Source organism: Homo sapiens, chromosome 3, assembly GCF_000001405.40.
Source record: "Homo sapiens chromosome 3, GRCh38.p14 Primary Assembly".
Taxonomy (NCBI): domain Eukaryota; kingdom Metazoa; phylum Chordata; class Mammalia; order Primates; family Hominidae; genus Homo; species Homo sapiens.
The window spans coordinates 165785529-165805717 of record NC_000003.12 but is presented as its reverse complement, the minus strand read 5'-3'; the positions used below and the strand labels follow the sequence as shown (position 1 = coordinate 165805717).

The 20189-nt window shown below is 33.5% G+C and overlaps 1 protein-coding gene across 3 annotated transcripts in view; it reads left to right on the top strand.

Annotated features, from left to right (window-relative positions):
- The window catches only part of BCHE (butyrylcholinesterase), a 64520-nt gene that overhangs the window by 31706 nt on the left and 12625 nt on the right, over positions 1 to 20189 (top strand). For all 3 annotated transcript variants that reach the window (NR_137635.2, NR_137636.2, NM_000055.4), the window contains one exon: positions 19407 to 19573. Coding sequence is in view for 1 of the 3 variants with exons in the window: in NM_000055.4 (NP_000046.1) it covers positions 19407 to 19573 (167 nt within the window). In the remaining 2 variants the exon portion in view is untranslated. The remainder of the gene's footprint in view (positions 1 to 19406; positions 19574 to 20189) is intronic.

Here is a 20189-nt window from a genome sequence, read left to right as displayed (position 1 = left end):
TAAGTTTAACAAAAATAAAAGTAAAAGATTGGTAAAGATTAAAAATATGATCTTTATGTTTAATGATTTAGGTTATTGCTATCATCCATCTGTGCTGTATCTCAGATCTTACAGAATCATATGAAGAGACATGTCTTTCCATCTGCCTACGTGCATATGAGTGTGCAAATATGCTAAAGAATTAAAATATGTAACAAAACATTGTATGCCACTAAGAAACATGTTTTAAAGTCCTTCAGAAACAGGTTTGTGTAACCTAGCAGTAACCTTTAGTAACCTATACTGAAATCTACACTAGTCAAACTAACACATTTTCTAAGCTTCTAAAGCCCTCAACTCTTCTTTTGTGATTTGCAATCTGGCAGCAAAACTAACTGCAGTTTCAACTTATGAACACTTCTTTTACACTGATGCCTGACTGATCGTGAAGATTCTACTTCATCTTCACCCTTCTCAAGTGATGGCTTTTTTATTCTGCTATTCGTGTACCATAGAGCCATATATATGTATATATGTCTACTAAGAGCTCGTTATTTTTTTCAAAACATTATTCCTCCTTCTTCCACAGAATAAACTCTCTTAAAGTAGATTCTACTAGATTACATCAGAGTATACTATTTACATTTTATTCTTGCTGCATTCAACTGCTTAAAGCCTGCTGAATCTTACTCATCCATTGAATATGTTTTAGCATCTAGCTTACTTTCCTTCTATCTACTAAAAATCTTGTAAACATTTTTAATTATCTCAGTGTTCATACAAATAAACTGTGAAATGCTTTGGCCTTTTTCTCTTAATCTTTCTCACCTGCAAGAATCACAACCTTGTTTATGTTTAAATATGTGATTGCTATCAAACAGCTTAATTAATGTGTCTGGATATAAACATGTATACACACTATGTGAATAAATTCAAGACCTTAAACTCAAGAGATTCTTTAATGTTGCCTGGCATTAATGTCTCTAGCCAATTTATTCCTTCAACACTTCTAAAGGATATTTATACCTGTTCTGTCTTCCCAAAACTCAAACATTTCTTCTCTACTTGCACAGCTACAAACTTGCTTTTTACACACTCACACACAAGAAAACAAAACCCAAAATTAATCAGATCGCAAAATCAATTAACTTATCAAAAACCCTGGCCAAGTCCTCTCTACCTCCCTCCAGTTGCAATGTCGATTATGCCCTTGTCTCCCATCTAGACTTGCCAGTGGGATTCTCTAGAGCCCATCCACATATGACTATGCAAGACTTTAGTTCTAAAAGTATTTTTCTTCTTTTTTTAAAAAATCATCTTTGCCCTCCATTTATTCATGTAGTTTTACTACTGTAAAAAAAAATATGTAATCTGAAAAAAAGACTTCACATTGTTTAATAGCTACTTTCCCATTTTCATACTCTTCTTGACAGCAAAACTCACTAATAATTTACCTCTACCAATTGCCCACTTTTATCCTCTCATTCTATATTTAAACTATTTCACTATCCCAATTATCTCATTCCAACTATTCTCATATTGGTCTGTATTTCCATGTTGCGAAGTCACTTAATTATTTCTGAATCATCAGTATTTGATGTGTGTGTAGTCTCTCTCCTCCTTGAAGCATCTCTTTCAGTGGAGTCATGGAAACCCAGAAATCATCAGAGTTTTTTTTTTTTCTAACCTTTCTAGGCTTACCATTTTAGTCTCCTTTGTGATTTCTTCTCATGTCAAAATATTGTAATATACTGCAGCTCAATCCTTGGACCACTCTTTCCTGTGCATGTTTATTCCATGGGTGATATCAGTCAGTTTTACTGCCTTAACTAACATCTACATACTGATGACTTCCAGTTATATCTGCAGCCCAGGTCTCTTCCTAAACCCCTGTGCCTTATGTACGTATCTACTTAAGTATTTAATATGCATTTCAAACTTTATATATTCTTAATTTACTTTTAACATTCTCCTCACATACTTCCCCACTTCAGTTAAAAAAAAACTTCATTATATCTCTTGCTTATGCCAAAAAATTCAAGGTCAATATTGATCATCATTCTCCACTGCCAGTTAATCAGTAAATTCTGTCAACTTGACCTTTAGAAAAATAACCAAACCAGAATTCTCTTTAAGAGTGTACATTGTTTATAATTATTAGGTCCATTACATATTTAGTAATTTAGAATAGTAAGAAATATAGTCTGGGAATTGGATGATATTAACAGATTATTGTTAAATAAATGTATTAAGTGTGACAGTGTTGTTTTGGCTCAGTAAGAATATGACTTTTTATTTTTTTTAGAAGTGCATACTAAATTTCTTAGTGTCTGTACTGCAGAATTAAGCAAGTGAATAGAATGAGTTAGAAACTCATTACAACTTCCTACACACTTAGAATTTTCCTTAGCATGTATTTACTTAACGGATTGATCCTGCTCATCTTTCTCTCTTTCACCAACATGTAAGCTCTAAAAAGATGGGACTTTTCGTTTATTTTGTTTGCAACTATATTCCCAGTACCTACGACATTATTAGGCACATATTAGGTAGTCAATGAATACTTTTTGAATATATGATTAATTATTTATTATGTAGATTCTTCCCACCTTCCCAACCTCCTAAATCTTCCCAGAGCTCAGTTCTTATTTCTCTTTTCTTCTCTTTTCCTGTACTCTTCCTTTAAAAAATATCATCTATTGGCCGGAGCGGTGGCTCACGCCTGTAATCCCAGCACTTTGGGAGGCAGGCGGGTGGATCACGAGGTCAGGAGATCAAGACCATCCAGGCTAAAACGGTGAAACCCCGGCTCTACTAAAAATACGAAAAATTAGCCGGGCTTGGTGGTGGGCGCCTGTAGTCCCAGCTACTCAGGAGGGTGAGACAGGAGAATGGCGTGAACCCGGGAGGCGGAGCTTGCAGTGAGCCGAGATCGCGCCACGGTACTCCAGCCTGAGCGACAGAGCAAGACTCCGTCTCAAAAAACACAACAAAACAAAAACAAAACAAAACAAAAAATCATTTATTTCTATGACATTAAACATCATGTAAATGCTCATGAATGTATATCTCTGTAAATGTCTCCATTTACAATTACAAAAAAAAAAAAACAAATTTTCCTATTTTTAAAATTTTTCCCCATTCCACATCAGCAAATTCTATCAGCTTGATCTTTAAAATGGATCTGCAAGTAACTTAGGTCTCATTTTCAGAACTACAAGCCTAATCTGAGCCACCAAGGTATGTTTTCTGGTTTACTACAATAGCCAGTCTCCCTGGTCCTACTCTTTTCTCTCCAGTTTATTCTCCTCCCTATGTTGGAGCAATCCTTTCAAAATATAAGCCAGATCTTAGCACTGCCTGGATAATAACTCTTCAGTGATTTTTTAATTTTATCTTGAATAAAATCTAAATTTCTTATCATTATCTAAATGGGCCCATATGACAAATTGTTTGACAATCTCTGATAAGATAATCTCTCTGCTCACTATACTCAACCAACTTGGTCTCCTTGATATCACTTATTGCAAATTAATGGATAAATACGCTCTGATAATTTGAATAACTTCATGCAAATTCAACCAGCTTTTAGTAGCAGACTCTGGTTGCAAAGCTGGTGATTCCAAACCATGCAGCATACAGTTCTCACCTCAGAGTGTAATGTGCCACTGGAAGCAAGTTGGGGACATTAATGAAATTACAGAACATAAAATATTTGGGCTGGGGACAGTGAGGGTTAATATAGTGTGGTCCTGCAAAATAGAAGTGGGCAATAGCTAAATATAGGTGTGTATGCAGTGTGTGTAATATTATGACTAGACCCCAGCAAGATATTGTGGATGAAAGAATGTGGAGAGACAGATATGAATCACCATGTATAAGAATAATGAGAGGCAAAAACGGATACATTTGTCAAAATAGTGTATAGAGAACAGAAATTTGGGTGAGCTTATGTCTTGGGAACTCAGAATCTGAATGGTCATTTGACTTTTTACTTTTTACAACCTTTAAGTAGTAAGGTCTTACTTGTTTCTGGAATACCAGGTCAACATAAACAAGATAAATATACTATTGGCAGGAATACTTCTCATGTTTCTTATAAAGTTACCATGCTCAGTGTAGTAAGTAAACATCCAAAAATACTTTTTTTAAATTTCTAATTTCAAAATCTTTCTATTTATTTATCTTTATAATGTATATTATATGCTTTGTTCCATATTTCATAATGATGTATTTATATAAAATGCAAAAAACAAATTTGATCATAACAATATTTCTGTAGCTGTAATTGTAAAGCAGTATAACATTTAATAAAACAAGATGCTTCTGATTCTTCAGCATTCCCTCAGATAGACATTTCTGAATGACAGTCATGAGATTGTTTCCAAGGTACATGCAAATCATAAGTTATTAAATAATAGTTTTCAGTATAAAATAATTATCCTTGCGGTTTTCATTATGGCACATCCGCCTTGGACAGAAGAAACAAAATCCTGTGACTGACTTAGCTGCAATTAGCAAGTCATTCAGAAATCACATTCATCACTGTCATTTCAGAAGAGTCTAGAAGGAATTGCTTGTGCTATATTTAGCATGCATGAGAGCTGTAAAGTCCAGCCTGTTCATCTTTCTCACGTTTCTGTTTGTTTGCAAAAGCTAGAAAGCTGTAGCCAAGAAGGGCAGGAAGGAAGGTTGGCTTTCAATACCCTTCTTCAGTTCAGCTGAGAACTCCTTTCTATGACTCAATAGCCAGTTCCAAATTACCACATTATTAAAAAAATTTGGTTATCCTGCTTATATTTTCTTCATAGATGATATTACTACATAAATTAATATCTATTAATCAATTTATTTATTATTAATCTCCAATCATTAAACTGATGGATCTCAGAGATCAGTGACTTACAGGTTCTGTTTACTGTTATATCCATTGCCCACATTCCTGGCACATGTCAGGCAATAAAATTCAATTATTGACTAACAAACAGCTTCCTGAAAAAAAGTCAGTTCAGTTTCTTTATTGTGGATTTTTAAAAAATCAACAGAAAACTAGCCCTCATATGCCATTTCTCCAGATAAGAGTAATCTCATTTTTTCACAATGAAGAGGTTATCTTTAGTCTTGAGGTCTATATATACAGAGAGAGAGTAGCAGTAGTGAATACATCTGGTGTCAAGTACAATTAAAATTATGTCATAGGGAGAATTTAAATTTATTCTATAGGAAAAGCAGAGAAACCCTGGGTAAAATTTATGGGGATATTTTTGAGCTTAATATTATATTTGGTATTAATAAAGACATATTTCTCTTTGAGAAAAAAAATAAAAATAGCCCTGGGGCCTGGAATTCTAGTAGGGCCTGAATGCAGGTCTATTTTTCCAACTAGATTTAGTAACGAATAAAGTTGTCAGGGATTGGAATGACCTTGTCCAGATTGTGACACATATTCCATTATTAAAAGTGAAAAAACAGAAGTTAGAATAGCTTTGTGCAGATATACTAAAGAGAATAAAACACTGAATGGAAGATTAGACAACATTACTTCAAGATAACTTGAAATTCTTTTAAAGGGCCTAATATTATTTTTGATTCAAAAAAAGTATTCAAGTAACAGAAAAAAAATTTTGGAGGAAAAAATACCCAGAAAATTGTTACCTGAAATAATTTAAGAATAGAAATCTTTGATTATAAAATACTTCTAATTGCACGCTAATAAAGTAGTTCCATGAGAAATAATTGAAGGCTAAATGGGACATTGTAACACTTTCAAATAGTAGAAAATATGGATGGGATATTTTTAACTTACTAATGATCAGTAAAATAATTGGGAAAAAAGAATTGTGGAAAAATATGGCATTTTATATGGTAGGTAGCACACATATCTTTATTGTTACCTCTCTAATATTAATATAGATTTGAAATTATTTTGGTTAAAGGTTTTCACCAATTACTTAAGTATCTGAAATCGATTATTAAAATGAAATAAGATTATTTTGTGTGTATCACCATTTTAATCATTACAAATTCAATGTTCAATGCTCACTTTGAAAAATTCATTAAGCATGATTTAGGCTCGAGTCTGTATATATGTTTATGGTAACAAAACTGACTTACAATGTTTATTTGTTGTGCTGACAGCTTCCTCCATAAACAGTGTCATTGCTGTCTATGCACCTTAATGTGGCACATTTGGTTGTTTCATCTTACTTTCCCTATATACAACATCTTTTATGTAGATATACAAATAAAATTAAATACACATAGATATATTTAAAATTTTAGCTTCACTAAATTCATTACATTACCTAAAATCCCCTCATTGCATATTAGACACTGTGTATATTAATACATAAAATGATACTAGGTTCAACACCTTAAAATTTTTAACCTAAATTCACTGCTAGGCAGGAGTGTAGGTTCATAAAAGGAAGTTAAACTAAAATAACATACAGCTTTTCTAAAGCAGGAAGAATATGTAAGGCAATTATATTCTCATGATTCCAAGTTGAAATCTGTGCCATTTGGAAGGAAACACAACGCTAAATAGAGACAAAATATTTTGAAAATTGGATAGGATTTTTGTAAAGATTTCAAATAAAATAGAAAAAATATTTTAACTTAAAAGTTGAAAAATGATTTATTTATCAAAGTTTTCTAAGTTATCTGTCAGATGATATAGATATGTTTTGAATAAGTACTAAAGAAATAAGGAGATGAGCTAGTCACCCACAGCCACAGATATTATCCTAAAAACTGTATTATTTGTAATTCTATCATTGAGAATGAAATTTGTTTATATTCCATTTGTATCTCTGTATGCAACTATATACTCTAGTTTTTTTTTATTATTTGTTTGTTTGTTTCGTTTTGTTTTAGAAAAACTGCATGAGAAGACTGCTTACTTCTTTTTTTGTTCAGATGGGGAGCTCACTATGTTGCCCAGGCATATCTAGAAACCTAGGGCTCAAGAAATCCTTCTAACTCAGTCCAGCTTCCCAAGTAGCTAGGATTATAAGCACACACCACAACACTCAGCAAAATTGCTTTTTATTAGGAAACAGTAATATCAATTTTTTTAATGTTAATGTTGAGGTACTTAGTTGAAATCATTAAAACACCAGATTTATGTTTTTGACATTGTAGGCTTTGAGATTTGAAAATTCACCTACCTCAGCCATTCAAGTTGTGTGATATTGGACAATCTCAGCTTCCTTATCTATATAATCTGAATAATAAAATTGCCTCTTTCAAAGAATTATAGTGAATGTTAACTGAGTTTTTGCATAAGAAGTGCTCAGTTCAGTGTCTAATAGATACAAAATTTCTAATAAATGTTTTTTAAAGTATATTCTTCTTAAATTTACTCATATACCTCTGAAACAGGTCTCAAACAACCTCAAAATATCTTAGCCAACATCCACACCAGTTGTTTAGAAGAGAAAATACACCTACACACACACACACACAGACACACACTTTGATTTTTCATTTGAAAGGATACGCTGTAGTTTCAAGTGTATGCAGTATAATTCTAATCACTTTAAAGGTTCTTTCTAATACAATTAGTCTAATGGTTTACTTACTCAGGTAAAACCTTTACCAAACAGCCTTTTATCAGACACTGACTCTATGCAAGTCTACAAGAGTCAAAAAAACAGACATGTTGTCTGCTATTACGGAGCCTTAAAGTCTAATGGAGGTGATTAGTCAAATGTTGGGACCTCCAGTGAATAGTGATATAAAGTCAATAACTTTGAATTCAAGAACAATTATTTGATATGCTGAAACTACCCATTAAAGAAAAACATCACAATTAAATTTTTGTATAATTTTCTTGGAGTATTATTTCCCAAGTCTTTTCTAATATTTAAGTATGCATTTAAAATCAAGCTATTTTAAGATTTGTATATGCTACTACAAAACTAAGTTTCCAGGACATTTTCTGGCAGTTCCTAGACTCATCCCTGAAACTGTGGGCTTGCTGCCATCAATTTTATGGCACAGACTAAAGCAAACAGACGTGAATAAGAGCAAAACCGATAGAATTTGGAAGACTCAAAAAAGAAGCCAATTTGTTTCAAGTTTGAGATTATTTTCTTATCTATAATTAATGCAAAGTCTGCCCCCTTATTAAAATAAGTGTTCTAGTGCCATTATTTGAAAGTACATTTGAGCTTTCTACAGATCATTAGGCTGTCACTCCTCTGGGATTCGTATGATCGCATTCAAATGATAACAGTTGCTTTGTTGTCTCTGGAAGATGAAAATGGGTACAAACATAATGCATCTTCACATTTGGAAATTAGGGAAGACATCTGGATGCACTTGCCCAGCTAATGAATAAAGGGAAAAAGGGAAGAATAAAGGAAGGAAGGAAGGAAGAAAGGAGAGACTGGAGGGAGGGAGGGAGGAAGGAAGGAAGGAAGGAAGGGGGGGAGGGAGGGAGGAAGGAGGGAGGAAGGAAGGAAGGAAGGAAGGGAAGGAGGGAAGGAAGGAAGGGAGGGAAGAAAGAAGGAGGGAAGGAGGGAAGGAAGGAAGGGAGGGAAGAACGAAGGAGGGAAGGAAGGAAGGGAGGGAAGAAGGAAGGAGGGAAGGAGGGAAGGAAGGAAGGGAGGGAAAGAAGGAAGGAAGGGAAAGAAAAAGTTTCTGATTTTCTTTAATATGATTTAGTATTCAGCCCAATTCATTTTCTGAAGTTGGAGGAGGCTAAACATTGCCTCGTATCTCCTCTTTAACTTGCCAGCTAATTATGCAAACCTTTATATCCAAACAATGCAGAGGAAAGAAGACAGAATAATCTTCCAGACCATGAAAGCTTTGTTCATCCATCATACCAACAGTGTACTAAAGATCTTAGAGATCTTTTGTGTGGTAACTCTTTGCCCTTTCAGCTGATGAATAACTGAAGATGTGCAATACAAAGAAATTACTAAAAGAGAACTGTGCACTGGAAACCAATTTGTTTTCATGACTCTATCCAACGACTTTAGTGAAGTATTTAGGAGAGTGGGTTAAGTACACAAGCCTCTTTTAAATACTTATTAAGATTAAAATGTTCACATAATATATAAAAGTATGCTTTAAGTGGGCACTTGATTCCCAGTTAGAAATTTAGGATTAAAAAAACACACTACATCTCAGCAACGGTGAAAATACGTGAAGATTTTGATTTGGATTAAAAAGAAAAAATATTTCTTTGTGCTTAAGGCATTTTATACTCCATTTTATTTCTTGAACAGAACAGAGCTTAACAATACTGACTGACAATATGAACAAGGCTCTTCATTAGGATCTAGTAATAAAACAAATGATTAGAGTAAAGGAAGACTTCTGATACCAGAAATCATTCAAGAAGTCTCACCTTATATGCAGGATTCAGTTTTACATTTTTGTGTGTGTTTTTATTTCCCCTTCAAACCAAATGTTTCTTTCTTACTTATGAGGCATCCACTTTGATAACAGATGTCAAGCTATATTATATCATAATTGGTCTTTGCTTATTGCTAGTGATGAAACCTCATCCAATATTTTTGCATGCCTCCATTTACTACAGCTGTTAATTTTTCTTAAAGTTTGAAAATTATGTGCAGCTAGTATGTCTTCTTCCTAGTATTTTTTTAAATGAAGTGTAATTTGTTCCCCTTTATTAGTGCTGGATGAAAATAAGTCTTCTTTTTTATTTCCTAGAAAGTTTAGCACATTGAAATGTTTTGCCTTTGATCAAATTTGTGTAAAGGATCATACAGATTATATATTTCCTGTGGGGTTCTTCTCTTCTCCTCTTCTCCTCTCCTCTCCCTTTCTCTTCCCTTCTTTTTTCTCATAAAAACCTATATCCAAATTCTCTGTGAAGCTGAGGATGTATTCCAATCCACAAGTCAGGAATGATGAAACAGTAAAAGTTTAATAAGCTACTTGGCCATGGACTCTTATAGCACAGTATATTTAGATACAAGAAATCATCCTTAGTTAATTTATGAATTTTTGCAAATTTCTAAGGTATGCTATTATAATCCTGTCCCTCTAGGTACCTTGATTCCTGCCCAAAAATAGCAAACCTTATTATTTAACTAAGAAAAAAACTGAACAAACTATAATGAATCTAGGGAATTGTTCTTCGGTAATTATTTTTCTCATTTCTACCGTTAGCAATAGAAATGTCTGGAGATGGGAGGAAGCAACTAATAAAAGTGAACTAGATTGAGATATTTGCATTAAATATAATCTAAATTGCAAATAATCCTCTTACATTCTCTATGCACAGCTGCATTATTATACAGTTCACATTGCTTTGGTAACTAATTTTTTCTGCCTTTATTACATCTTCCAGAAAACAAAAAGAATACAGTTATAAAGACCTTCCTAACAAACTATAGTAAGTCAAGATGGAGAATATAAGTGGGCCTTGGAAAATCTGAGTTAGATTTTAGTTTGTGAACAGGCTTAAGAGAAAGTCGTCTATATAATGACTCCTCATCAGCAGATGAAGGACATTGAAGTCAAACGTTTTGCTATGTCACGACACTTGAAGAATCAGTGTGAGTTTTCAATGTGAGTTTTAGAAGATTAATATTTACAAGACATTTTTCTTTAACTTAACACATGAGAAAATGTGAGTTTCTTTTTTAATAAAGTGAAAAGTTTTATTTTAGAACTGATACTGAATTGATCCAAGATACATCCAAAGTTCCGAAAGCTATTCACTTAATTCTTACTGCAAAAACCATTTTTTTCAGTGTATATTTTCCTAGGTTTATGATAGGCACTGGACATGAAAAAATAGATAAGACTGATTTTCTCTGAAGCTCAAAATATAATTTTCAATTTATATAATTTGGCATTGTTACAGTATTTCATTTGTATGTTATAATATAAAATAAAATTTTATATAAATGATATTTGTTCAGTTATTTTGGGTATTTCTAATATTCAATTTGCAGAATACAGAGATGCAAACACACAGACACACACACACATGCACACACACATGTTTGTCTGCTCTATAGGCTGAAAGCTTGTGTGCTTCCAAATTCATATGTTGAAATACTAACTCCCAATGTGATGGTATTAGGTATTAGGAGGTTGGGCCTTGGGAAAGTGATTAGGTGATGAGCGTAGAGCCCTCATGAGTGAGATTAGTGCTCTTATATCAGAGACCTCAAATAGCTCCCTTCTCCCTTCTACTATGTGAGGACACAGCAAAAAGACTGCTGTCTATGAACCAAGAAGTAAGCCCTCTCATCAGACACCAAAGTTGCCAATGCCTTGATTTTGAATTTCCCAGCTTCCAGAATATGAAACATCAATTTCTGTTGTCTGTAAGCTATCCAATGTATGATATTCTGTTATATAATCCCAAGCAGACTATGACAGCTTGTGTATATGTGTGAGTATGCAAAGAAAAAATACTTACATTTTTCTTTTATCTTTAAAGATTCATCTTAGAAGCTTGTAGAAAACCATGAAAGAAAAGGTTTTATAAAACTAACAAATTACCTAGGACATTGCCTTGTGGATTAAAATGGAGCCAGTGTGATTAAATTACTAGTAATGCATTCACGGATTAATATTAAATTGCTGTAATAAAATTCAGTGGATATTAAACTCATTTTATTTGGGTATATAGTTAAGAATAAATACTATAATTAATTTATTTAATTTAAGAAATCTGTGTATTTTTTTTTTTTTATTTGAGATGGAGTGTCGCTCCATCGCCCAGGCTGGAGTGCAGTGGCGCAATCTTGGCTCACTGCAACCTCTGCCTCCCGGGTTCAAGCAATTCTCCTGCCTCAGCCTTCCGAGGAGCTGGGACTACAGGTGCACACCACCACGCCCCGCTATTTTTTTGTATTTTTAGTAGAGACGGGGTTTCACCATATAGGTAAGGCTGGTCTCAAACTCCTTATCCCAGGTGATCCACCGCCTTGGCCTCCCAAAGTGCTGGGATTACAGGCATGAACATGGTAAAAAATGGTTTGCACGTGAGACACTGAAAAGTTGTCCCAGGGTGTCTGATTGCCACAACAAATAGTTACTGGAAGCAGAATTTCACATTACTTGGTTTGGAATACTGTTTTTCTTAAAAATACGGAAATTGTCATTTGTGAACTATTTTCCATGTGGTAGTAGTTTTTAAATGTGAACATTTACTGTGAAGGACGAAGAGGTAACCACACATCAGTTGTGATGTTTCTTACTTATTTTACTCATATTTCTTGCCTGCACACTATGAGTCAGGCACAATTTCAGGCTGTGAACAAAGCAATCAAATGATAGTTTGAATGAGACTTACCCTCTCATGAGAAAAAAGGAAAAAGGACAGCTAAAGTACATAGAAAAATATGAGGTGATAAACACTGACTACTTCAGTTTGGTTCCCAAGGAAGATCTGTCTGAAGAGATGGTAGGAGGAGAATAGGACAAGGAGCTATGCTTTGGGGAAATATAGGCATTGTATATCCTATGAATTGGTATAGTGCATTATGTGTATTTTATAATATTATAGCTGTATTGAAATTTGTAAATTGAGTAACATTGTTAGTGTAGCTGGGAGAACATTACATTAAAAAGCTTAAGACCTAAAGCCATAAAATTACTAGAAGAAAACATATGGAAAACACTTTAGAACATTGATGTAGGCAAAGATGTTATGGCTAAGACTGTAAAAGCACAGGTAACAAAACCAAATTTAGACAAATGGAACTGTATTAAACTAAAAAAATCTTCTTCACAGCAAAAGAAACAATTAACAGAGAAAAGGGACAACCTCCAGAATGAGAAAAAGTATTTGCAAATCAATAAAAGACATTGTTTATAGGAAAAGTAAGATGAAACAACCAAATGTACAACTTTAAGTTGCCCAGACAGCAATGATAGCAGTTTTTGGAGGAAGATATCAGCACAACAAACATTTTAAATCAGTTTTTATTGCAATACACATACATACAGAATTGAACCCATATCATGTTTAATGAATTTTTCAAAGTGAGCATCTAAGAACACTGAATTTGTAACCATTAAAATGGTGATACATACAAATTAATCTATTTTATCTTAGTAATCGATTTGAGATTCTTAGTTAATTGGTGAAAACCTTTGACCAAAATAATTTCAAATCTATATTAATATTAGAGAGGTAACAATAAAGATATGTTTGCTACCTTCCACTTATAATGGCATCTTGTTTTTCAATAATTCTTTTCTCCCAATTATTTTACTAATCATTACTAAGTAAAAATATCCCATTCATGTTTTCTAGTATTTGAGTTTTATGATGTCGCAATTCAGCCCTCAAGTATTTCTCATGGAAGCACTTTATTTTATTAGCATATAATCAGAAGTATTTTATAATCAAAGATTTTTTATTCTTAAATTGTTTCGGTTAACTCTTTTCCGGGTAATTTTTCCTAAAAGAAAATTTTCCGTTACTTAGATTTTTTTTATCAAAAGTAATATTATGCCCTTTAAATGAATTTGAAGTTTCCTTGAAGTAATATTGTCTAATCTCCTATTCAGTACAAAGCTATTCTAACTTTTGTTATTTTTTCACTTTTAATCATGGAATGTGTGTCACATTCTAGGCAAGGTCATTCCAATAAAAAAATGCATGTTAAGTAAGAACTGGTGGATCTAATTGAAACGCAGAGATTCTATCAGTAAAATCAAGAGTAACTACAAATTTCCAGCTGCGTACTTACCATCTCCATTTGGATGTAAAATTTAACACGTGAACTTAACATGTGAACTCTTTATTTTATTTTATTTTATTTTATTTTATTTTATTTTATTTTTTGAGATGGAGCCTCGCTCCGTCACCCAGGGTGGAGTCAGTGGCAAGATCTCAGTTCACTGCAACCTCTGTCTCCCAGGTTCAAGCCATTCTCCTGCCTCAGCCTCCCGAGTAGCTGGGATCACAGGCATGATCATATCGGGTAATTTTTGTATTTTCAGTAGAGACGGGGTTTCACCACGTTGGCCACTCTGGTCTTGCACTCCTGACCTCAAGTGATCCGCCTGCCTTGGCCTCCCAAAGTGATGGGATTACAAGCGTGAGCCATCATGCCCAGCTGTGAACTCTTGATATTGCATTCCAAACGTGCTCTTCTTGCAGTCTTTCCTATCTCAGCAATGTCAACTACATTCATTCTTCCAGTTTCTCAGGCCAGAATCTTTGGAATCAACCTTGCCTGCTCCTTTCCTCTTTATATCTAATCTATCTGCCAAGTAATGGCTCTACCTACAAAATACATGTAAGATCTGACTAATTATTTCAATTTCTGCCACTACGTCTCTAGTTCAAGCAACCAACACTTCTCACCTAAATTATTTTAGTAGCCTCCTAATTGGTCACCTTGAACCATCTGTAGTTATTCCCAGCACTACAGACAGATGATCTTTTAAACAATGTAAATGAGATCTTATTCTTTCCTTCCCGCCCGCCCCCCAAGATGGAGTCTTGCTCTGTCACCCAGTCTGCAGTGCCATGGTGTGATCTCGGCTCATTGCAACCTCCACCTCCCGGGTTCAAGCCATTCTCCTGCCTCAGCCTCCCGAGTAGCTGGGATTACAGGTGCCCGCCATCACTCCCAGCTAATTTTTGTATTTTTATTAAAGACGGGGTTTCACCATGTTGGCCAGGCTGGTGTTGAACTTCTGACCTCGTGACCTGCCCACCTCGGCCTCCCAAAGTGCTGGATTACAGGCGTGAGCCACCGTGCCTGGCCAGTCTTGTTCTTTCTTTGTGCAAACCCTCCAATTCTTCCCTCTCTTACTCTGAGTAGGCACAAAATGCTTTCAAAGACATACATGGCACTAAATAATGTGAACTTACTGTCCCCTCTCCAACCTCACCTCCTACACTCATTCCCTTGCTCCCTCCACTCTAGTCACACTGTCCCCTTTGCTTTCCTTGGAAAACTCTAAGCACGTGTTTTTCTCATGATCTTTGTTTTCCATCCCTTCTACTGAAATACTATTTCCCCAAACAACTATTTGGCTCATCCCTTCTCTCCTCAAGTCTTCACTTCATTTTCTATTAAATATTACAAAGCTCCCTTACCCAGAGTTAGAGAAAGTCAAGTTTAATCTTCCAGTCTTCGAAATTGGTCCAAGATTTCTCACACCAGTCGTAAGTTTAGGGTCCTTATGGCTACCCTCACTTCAGACTAGCTGTTTACAAATATGGAGTCCCTGTGGACTCTGTCAGATTTTATAACTCAGAAGAGCTATTCATAGAACTCAGAAAAGCCCTGTAATTACAATGACAGTTTTCTTATAGCAAAAAGTTACAAATTAGAACCAGCTGAGGAATGAGACACATAGAGCATCTTGGACTTAGAATGTTCCAAATGCAAAACTTCTCTGTCCTCAGAGATCTATTATCTTCAGGACATCTATTGTGCCGGTGTACTTATGGAGTATTGCCAATCTAAGAAGCTCACCTGTATCTCTAGTTTTTATTGGGATTTTATTACTATATTTAGGCATGATCGATTGAATCATTGTTCGCATGGTTAAAATCAATCTTCAGCTCCTTCCCCTCCATGGAGGTCAGTATGATATCACATGGCTAAAAGTCTCAACTCTCTAATCACATGGACAGTCTTTCTGGCAGGGAGAGACAAAGGACAATCACATGTTTTATTATGGACTCCCTCACCATCCCCCCCTCACACACACACTGATACTTACTCACCCGCCATTTCTATTTATCCCCAGTCCTCATTTTATTATCACTAGCACCTAGTATCATCTAACATATTACATCATTTCTTTATTGATCTTATTTATTGTCTTTCTCATCAAATAAAAATGGCAAGATAAAGGAATTTCTATTTTGTATTTGTTGAATCTCTTACCACTCAAATAATACCTGATCTAGTACACACTTTATAAATATGGTTGAATGAAGGAATGAATCTGTTTTCTAAATTTAGGTCTTCTTATAGCCCTTCTATTCCTTATTTTACAATAGAATATCATTTAAGTGACATGGAATGGAATCTATAAATATTTTAACATTTTAAAATTTATTCAATATATTTTCCTCAAACCTCTTATGACAGTGAAAGATTTCATCTAGACTTTTAATATGTAACTATTAACTATAGCTTCATTTTACTAGATTTTAAAGCTAATTAAAATATATTCTCTCAAAAATTACTATAGCTTACTTAGAAATAACTGTCTCTGAATTCCTAAGGATAATTTTAATTCTCGTTTTAGGCTTAGGTAGGCAGCACTAGGATTCTATAATTCCAAGAATACTTTATTTTTGAAGCTAGATGCATAATTTTTCTTCATATCAGGGCATCCTGAATCAATTGATGTCTTTTTCTTTAATCTGTTCATAAAATGAGTTATCAACTATGTGCTGAAATATCAATGACAAGCAAGTAATTTTCTGTAACACAGATGTAAAAAAAAAGATACTCTGCTTTTTTTTGTTGTTAAGTTAGCTGTGTCTTAAAACCTTTCAAACCTACATATGAAGAAAATTCTAATGGGTGATCTGTAGAGCATTTTGGTATACCACAAAGTAGAAAAAGAACCTGATACTAAGAATAGAACACATACAACTTCATGGAAAGTTTTAGTTATTACTATTTTGAAGTATTTATTTTGTGACGAGAACAAAAAATTCTTTGAGAAATAGCAAAGTCAAGATGTTTAAATTTATGTTATAATTTTGAAATAAAAAATATGTAGTGTTTTGGAATTGTGCATGGTGGAAATATGTTGTATTTCACAAAGCTTTTAATTGATACAGACAGAATTGTCTCTCTTGTTATTTTGTAAGTCTTTGGAGATTTCTTCAAATTATAGAATAAAATACTGCATCACTTCAATAGCTATTTCAATCTTTTGAAATAGCTGCATCTATAGGCAAAGGAATCTTATTATCTCTAAATTACAATTTGGTATGTCATGAGTTATTTCATAGGACAAAGTTTGTTAAATGAACACTCACTGGCAGTGTCATTAGTGCTTTGCTCTTGAACTCAACTACGAGTCAGCTCTGTTTACGTTGCCATTCACAGAAGACAGAAATGAATGCGCAGTTAAAATGGTGCCATAAGTAAAGTAGAGCAGAATTAGAAGAAAACTGGACAATTTAGGAACATAAGAATTGCTGTACTGAATCAGACCATCGGTTCTCCTGGTTTAATATCCAGCCTCCAGCAGCTGTACTTGTTAGTTTCTACAGCTTTAAAAGAAAGAAAAAAGACTACATAATTTACCTAGACAATTGTGCCATCTGTGATCTGGAGAAATTTTCTCCTTGACCTCTCTCAAATAATACCCTAAAGCAGGAGGTTTCAATCTTGCTATGATATTGGTTTAGCTTGAATAGCTCTGATTATTAATAATTCTTATTAAATTATCCAATTCCTCCATAAAATAAACTAGTACATCAAGAAACTGTTTGTCTCTAAAGCTCCTGAATTCATGGTTGAACATGTCTGCATCTATGATAAAATATGAATTTATGGTGCATATTCAATATAAGTTCTTGATGGCAAAAATCTGCCTCTTGATAACCATACTGGATGAATGTTTACTTCTTCCAAATTCTACTGGACTTAGAGACTTTGGCCAAACAAAACAAAACAAAACAAAACAAACTTAGATCGGCTCATACTACTCCAAAATTTCTATCTATTAATAATATACAGAAGGTATCTGAATGATGAAGGATTTTTTGTGTTGAACTTTTAGAAAATTTCAACCAGAGTTTTTCTTAATATGATTTAGCATAAGGTAGAATAAGAGCAAGGAATGAATTACTTATCTTTGTCACTTTAATCTTTTGTTTATGTTAGAAAAGGCTGAAAAACTTTATAGTTTCTTGATTATTCTAAATACCACCTTCAGATCAATATTTCTAAAATATTATGCTCACACTAGCCATTTAGTCAAAAGTTCCTCAAGAGTAGTAAATGCCTACAAGTTCGATTTCAAACAATTTTCCAGGGCTGTTAGACCTTAATGTGACAACACTGATATCCTAAGTCCATATATTCAATTGTATCTCCTTCTATCCTAGAATTCAACAAAACTAGTTTTTTCGTCATTATTTGAACTAAGAAGTAGATTAATCATTAATGTCTATGTTAATTCTATCCCTTTTTCTAGCTTTCCCGACTTTCCTTTCTAGCTCAGGTCCTTATTTCCTCTCTTTCAGCCAGATTCCCATTCCATCAGGTAATTTCCTTTCAAGCATGTAATGACTGCTCCTTCTTCTGAACAATTTGTGGCCCTTTTTTTAGACTCGGTTTATGCTATCTTATGTTGTAGTTCTTTGTTTCCCTGGGTTTTCTTGCTTATAAATTCCCTGAGGAAAACTTTGTGTTTCATATTTATATTTCTAGAGGCTAGATCTGTGTCTAACTCATACTAATAACATAAAGATATATTATAAGGAAATCTACAGATGTAGTGACTGTGTAGAGCCACTTTTAAAAATCTCTGAGTTCCTGTTTGTGTGACCTTGGCATTAATATATTATTGAGTGCTATAAAGGTATAAATGAGCTCAACACTGTAGATATTGAAAAGATAGAGTCGACAGTTATTCATTTTCAAATAACAACTATAAGCATGGGAAATATCATAAAAAGATAATATGAAAGTTTTGAATGAGTTTAGACACATAAAATTGGAAAATAAAAGAATTCCAAGCAAAAGTAACAGCTAGAGCAAAGAGAAGAAATGAAAAAAGGAGGGATTTACTGGGGAACTCTATCTAATTCCCTAACTCCTATTGGCTGGGTGTATAAAAAGAATATCTGAAAATAAATTTGGAAATGTGGGTGGTACCATGTTCATTAACCTTAATATGAAACCACTTAAGAATTATTGAAAGATTTTTAATTAGTAAACAGATCTATGAGATGTTAGCTAAACTTAAAAGTGGGACTGAAAGAAGTTTCCTGGAGTAATGAGATTATTACATAATAAGATTTGTAATTAAACTTGGTCTTAAACTCAAGCAGTATTAATAAGAGTATATAGAATGAAATAGATGCAAAAGATGAGTAAGTGATATGATTCCTTATTGTGAAATTTTTGGGCCTAGGATAAGGGAAGATAATGAAACAAAAGTAACACCACCCTTTGAGCACGTTTAAGTGTGAATGAAGATATATTTTATTGAAATAAAAAATTTCTTCTTCCAATATGTTAAGCAGAAATGCATATAAAAAATTCAACTTTAAATTTCAATTCTTACAATTTTAAATAACATAGTGGTTCTCAGTGCTCAAACCACTAAGCCCAGTTCACATACGTTTCATATCATCAATATATATCCACATTTTTTCTGTCTTAAATTCTTTAAAGCTCTTGTGAACAGTGTTAGAAAACAATATTCTTTTTAATCTAACAATGATTTCAATTTTACTATAATGTCTCTATTTTATTATTTAGGAATCCAAATGAGACTCAGAACAATAGCACAAGCTGGCCTGTCTTCAAAAGCACTGAACAAAAATATCTAACCTTGAATACAGAGTCAACAAGAATAATGACGAAACTACGTGCTCAACAATGTCGATTCTGGACATCATTTTTTCCAAAAGTCTTGGAAATGACAGGTGTGTCTGTTTTTAGTGTTTGGTTATTTAATAGATGATGGGTTATGTAAAAAAGGGATGAAGTATACTCTCCAAGGCACGGTGATGGAGTTACTATATGTATCTCTGACTTTAAAATAACTTGGTTTAATGAACACATTATTTTTAAGACTTTCTTCTATCAAGTTTAGATATGTTTTGAACTCTTACTATATGACCAGTACTTTAGTAGTTAAATAAAGAAAACTAAAATATAGATTTCACCCTGTGGAAATATAAAATAGAAAAAGGAAACTAAAATAGAGCCCTACTTGTTATTCAGATAATCTTTGTGGAATTAATTAATGGACAAAGAAATAAATATATCAAATAATCATAATGTATGGAACTAAAAAATAAGATGCATAAATTGGTAAAAACAGATTTATTGATAAATAATAGAACCTTGATTTAAATGGAGAAAAAAACTCCGAAGTTTACATATTTAAAAACACAATAAAAAATTTCTAAATATTCTGAACTTGGAAATATTTATCTAAGAGCACACACGCACATTACATAATATGATATGATATAATATTACATATTATAAACAAATAGTTATTTAGTTAACTAGTCTTAAGGAAGTGATTGGTGA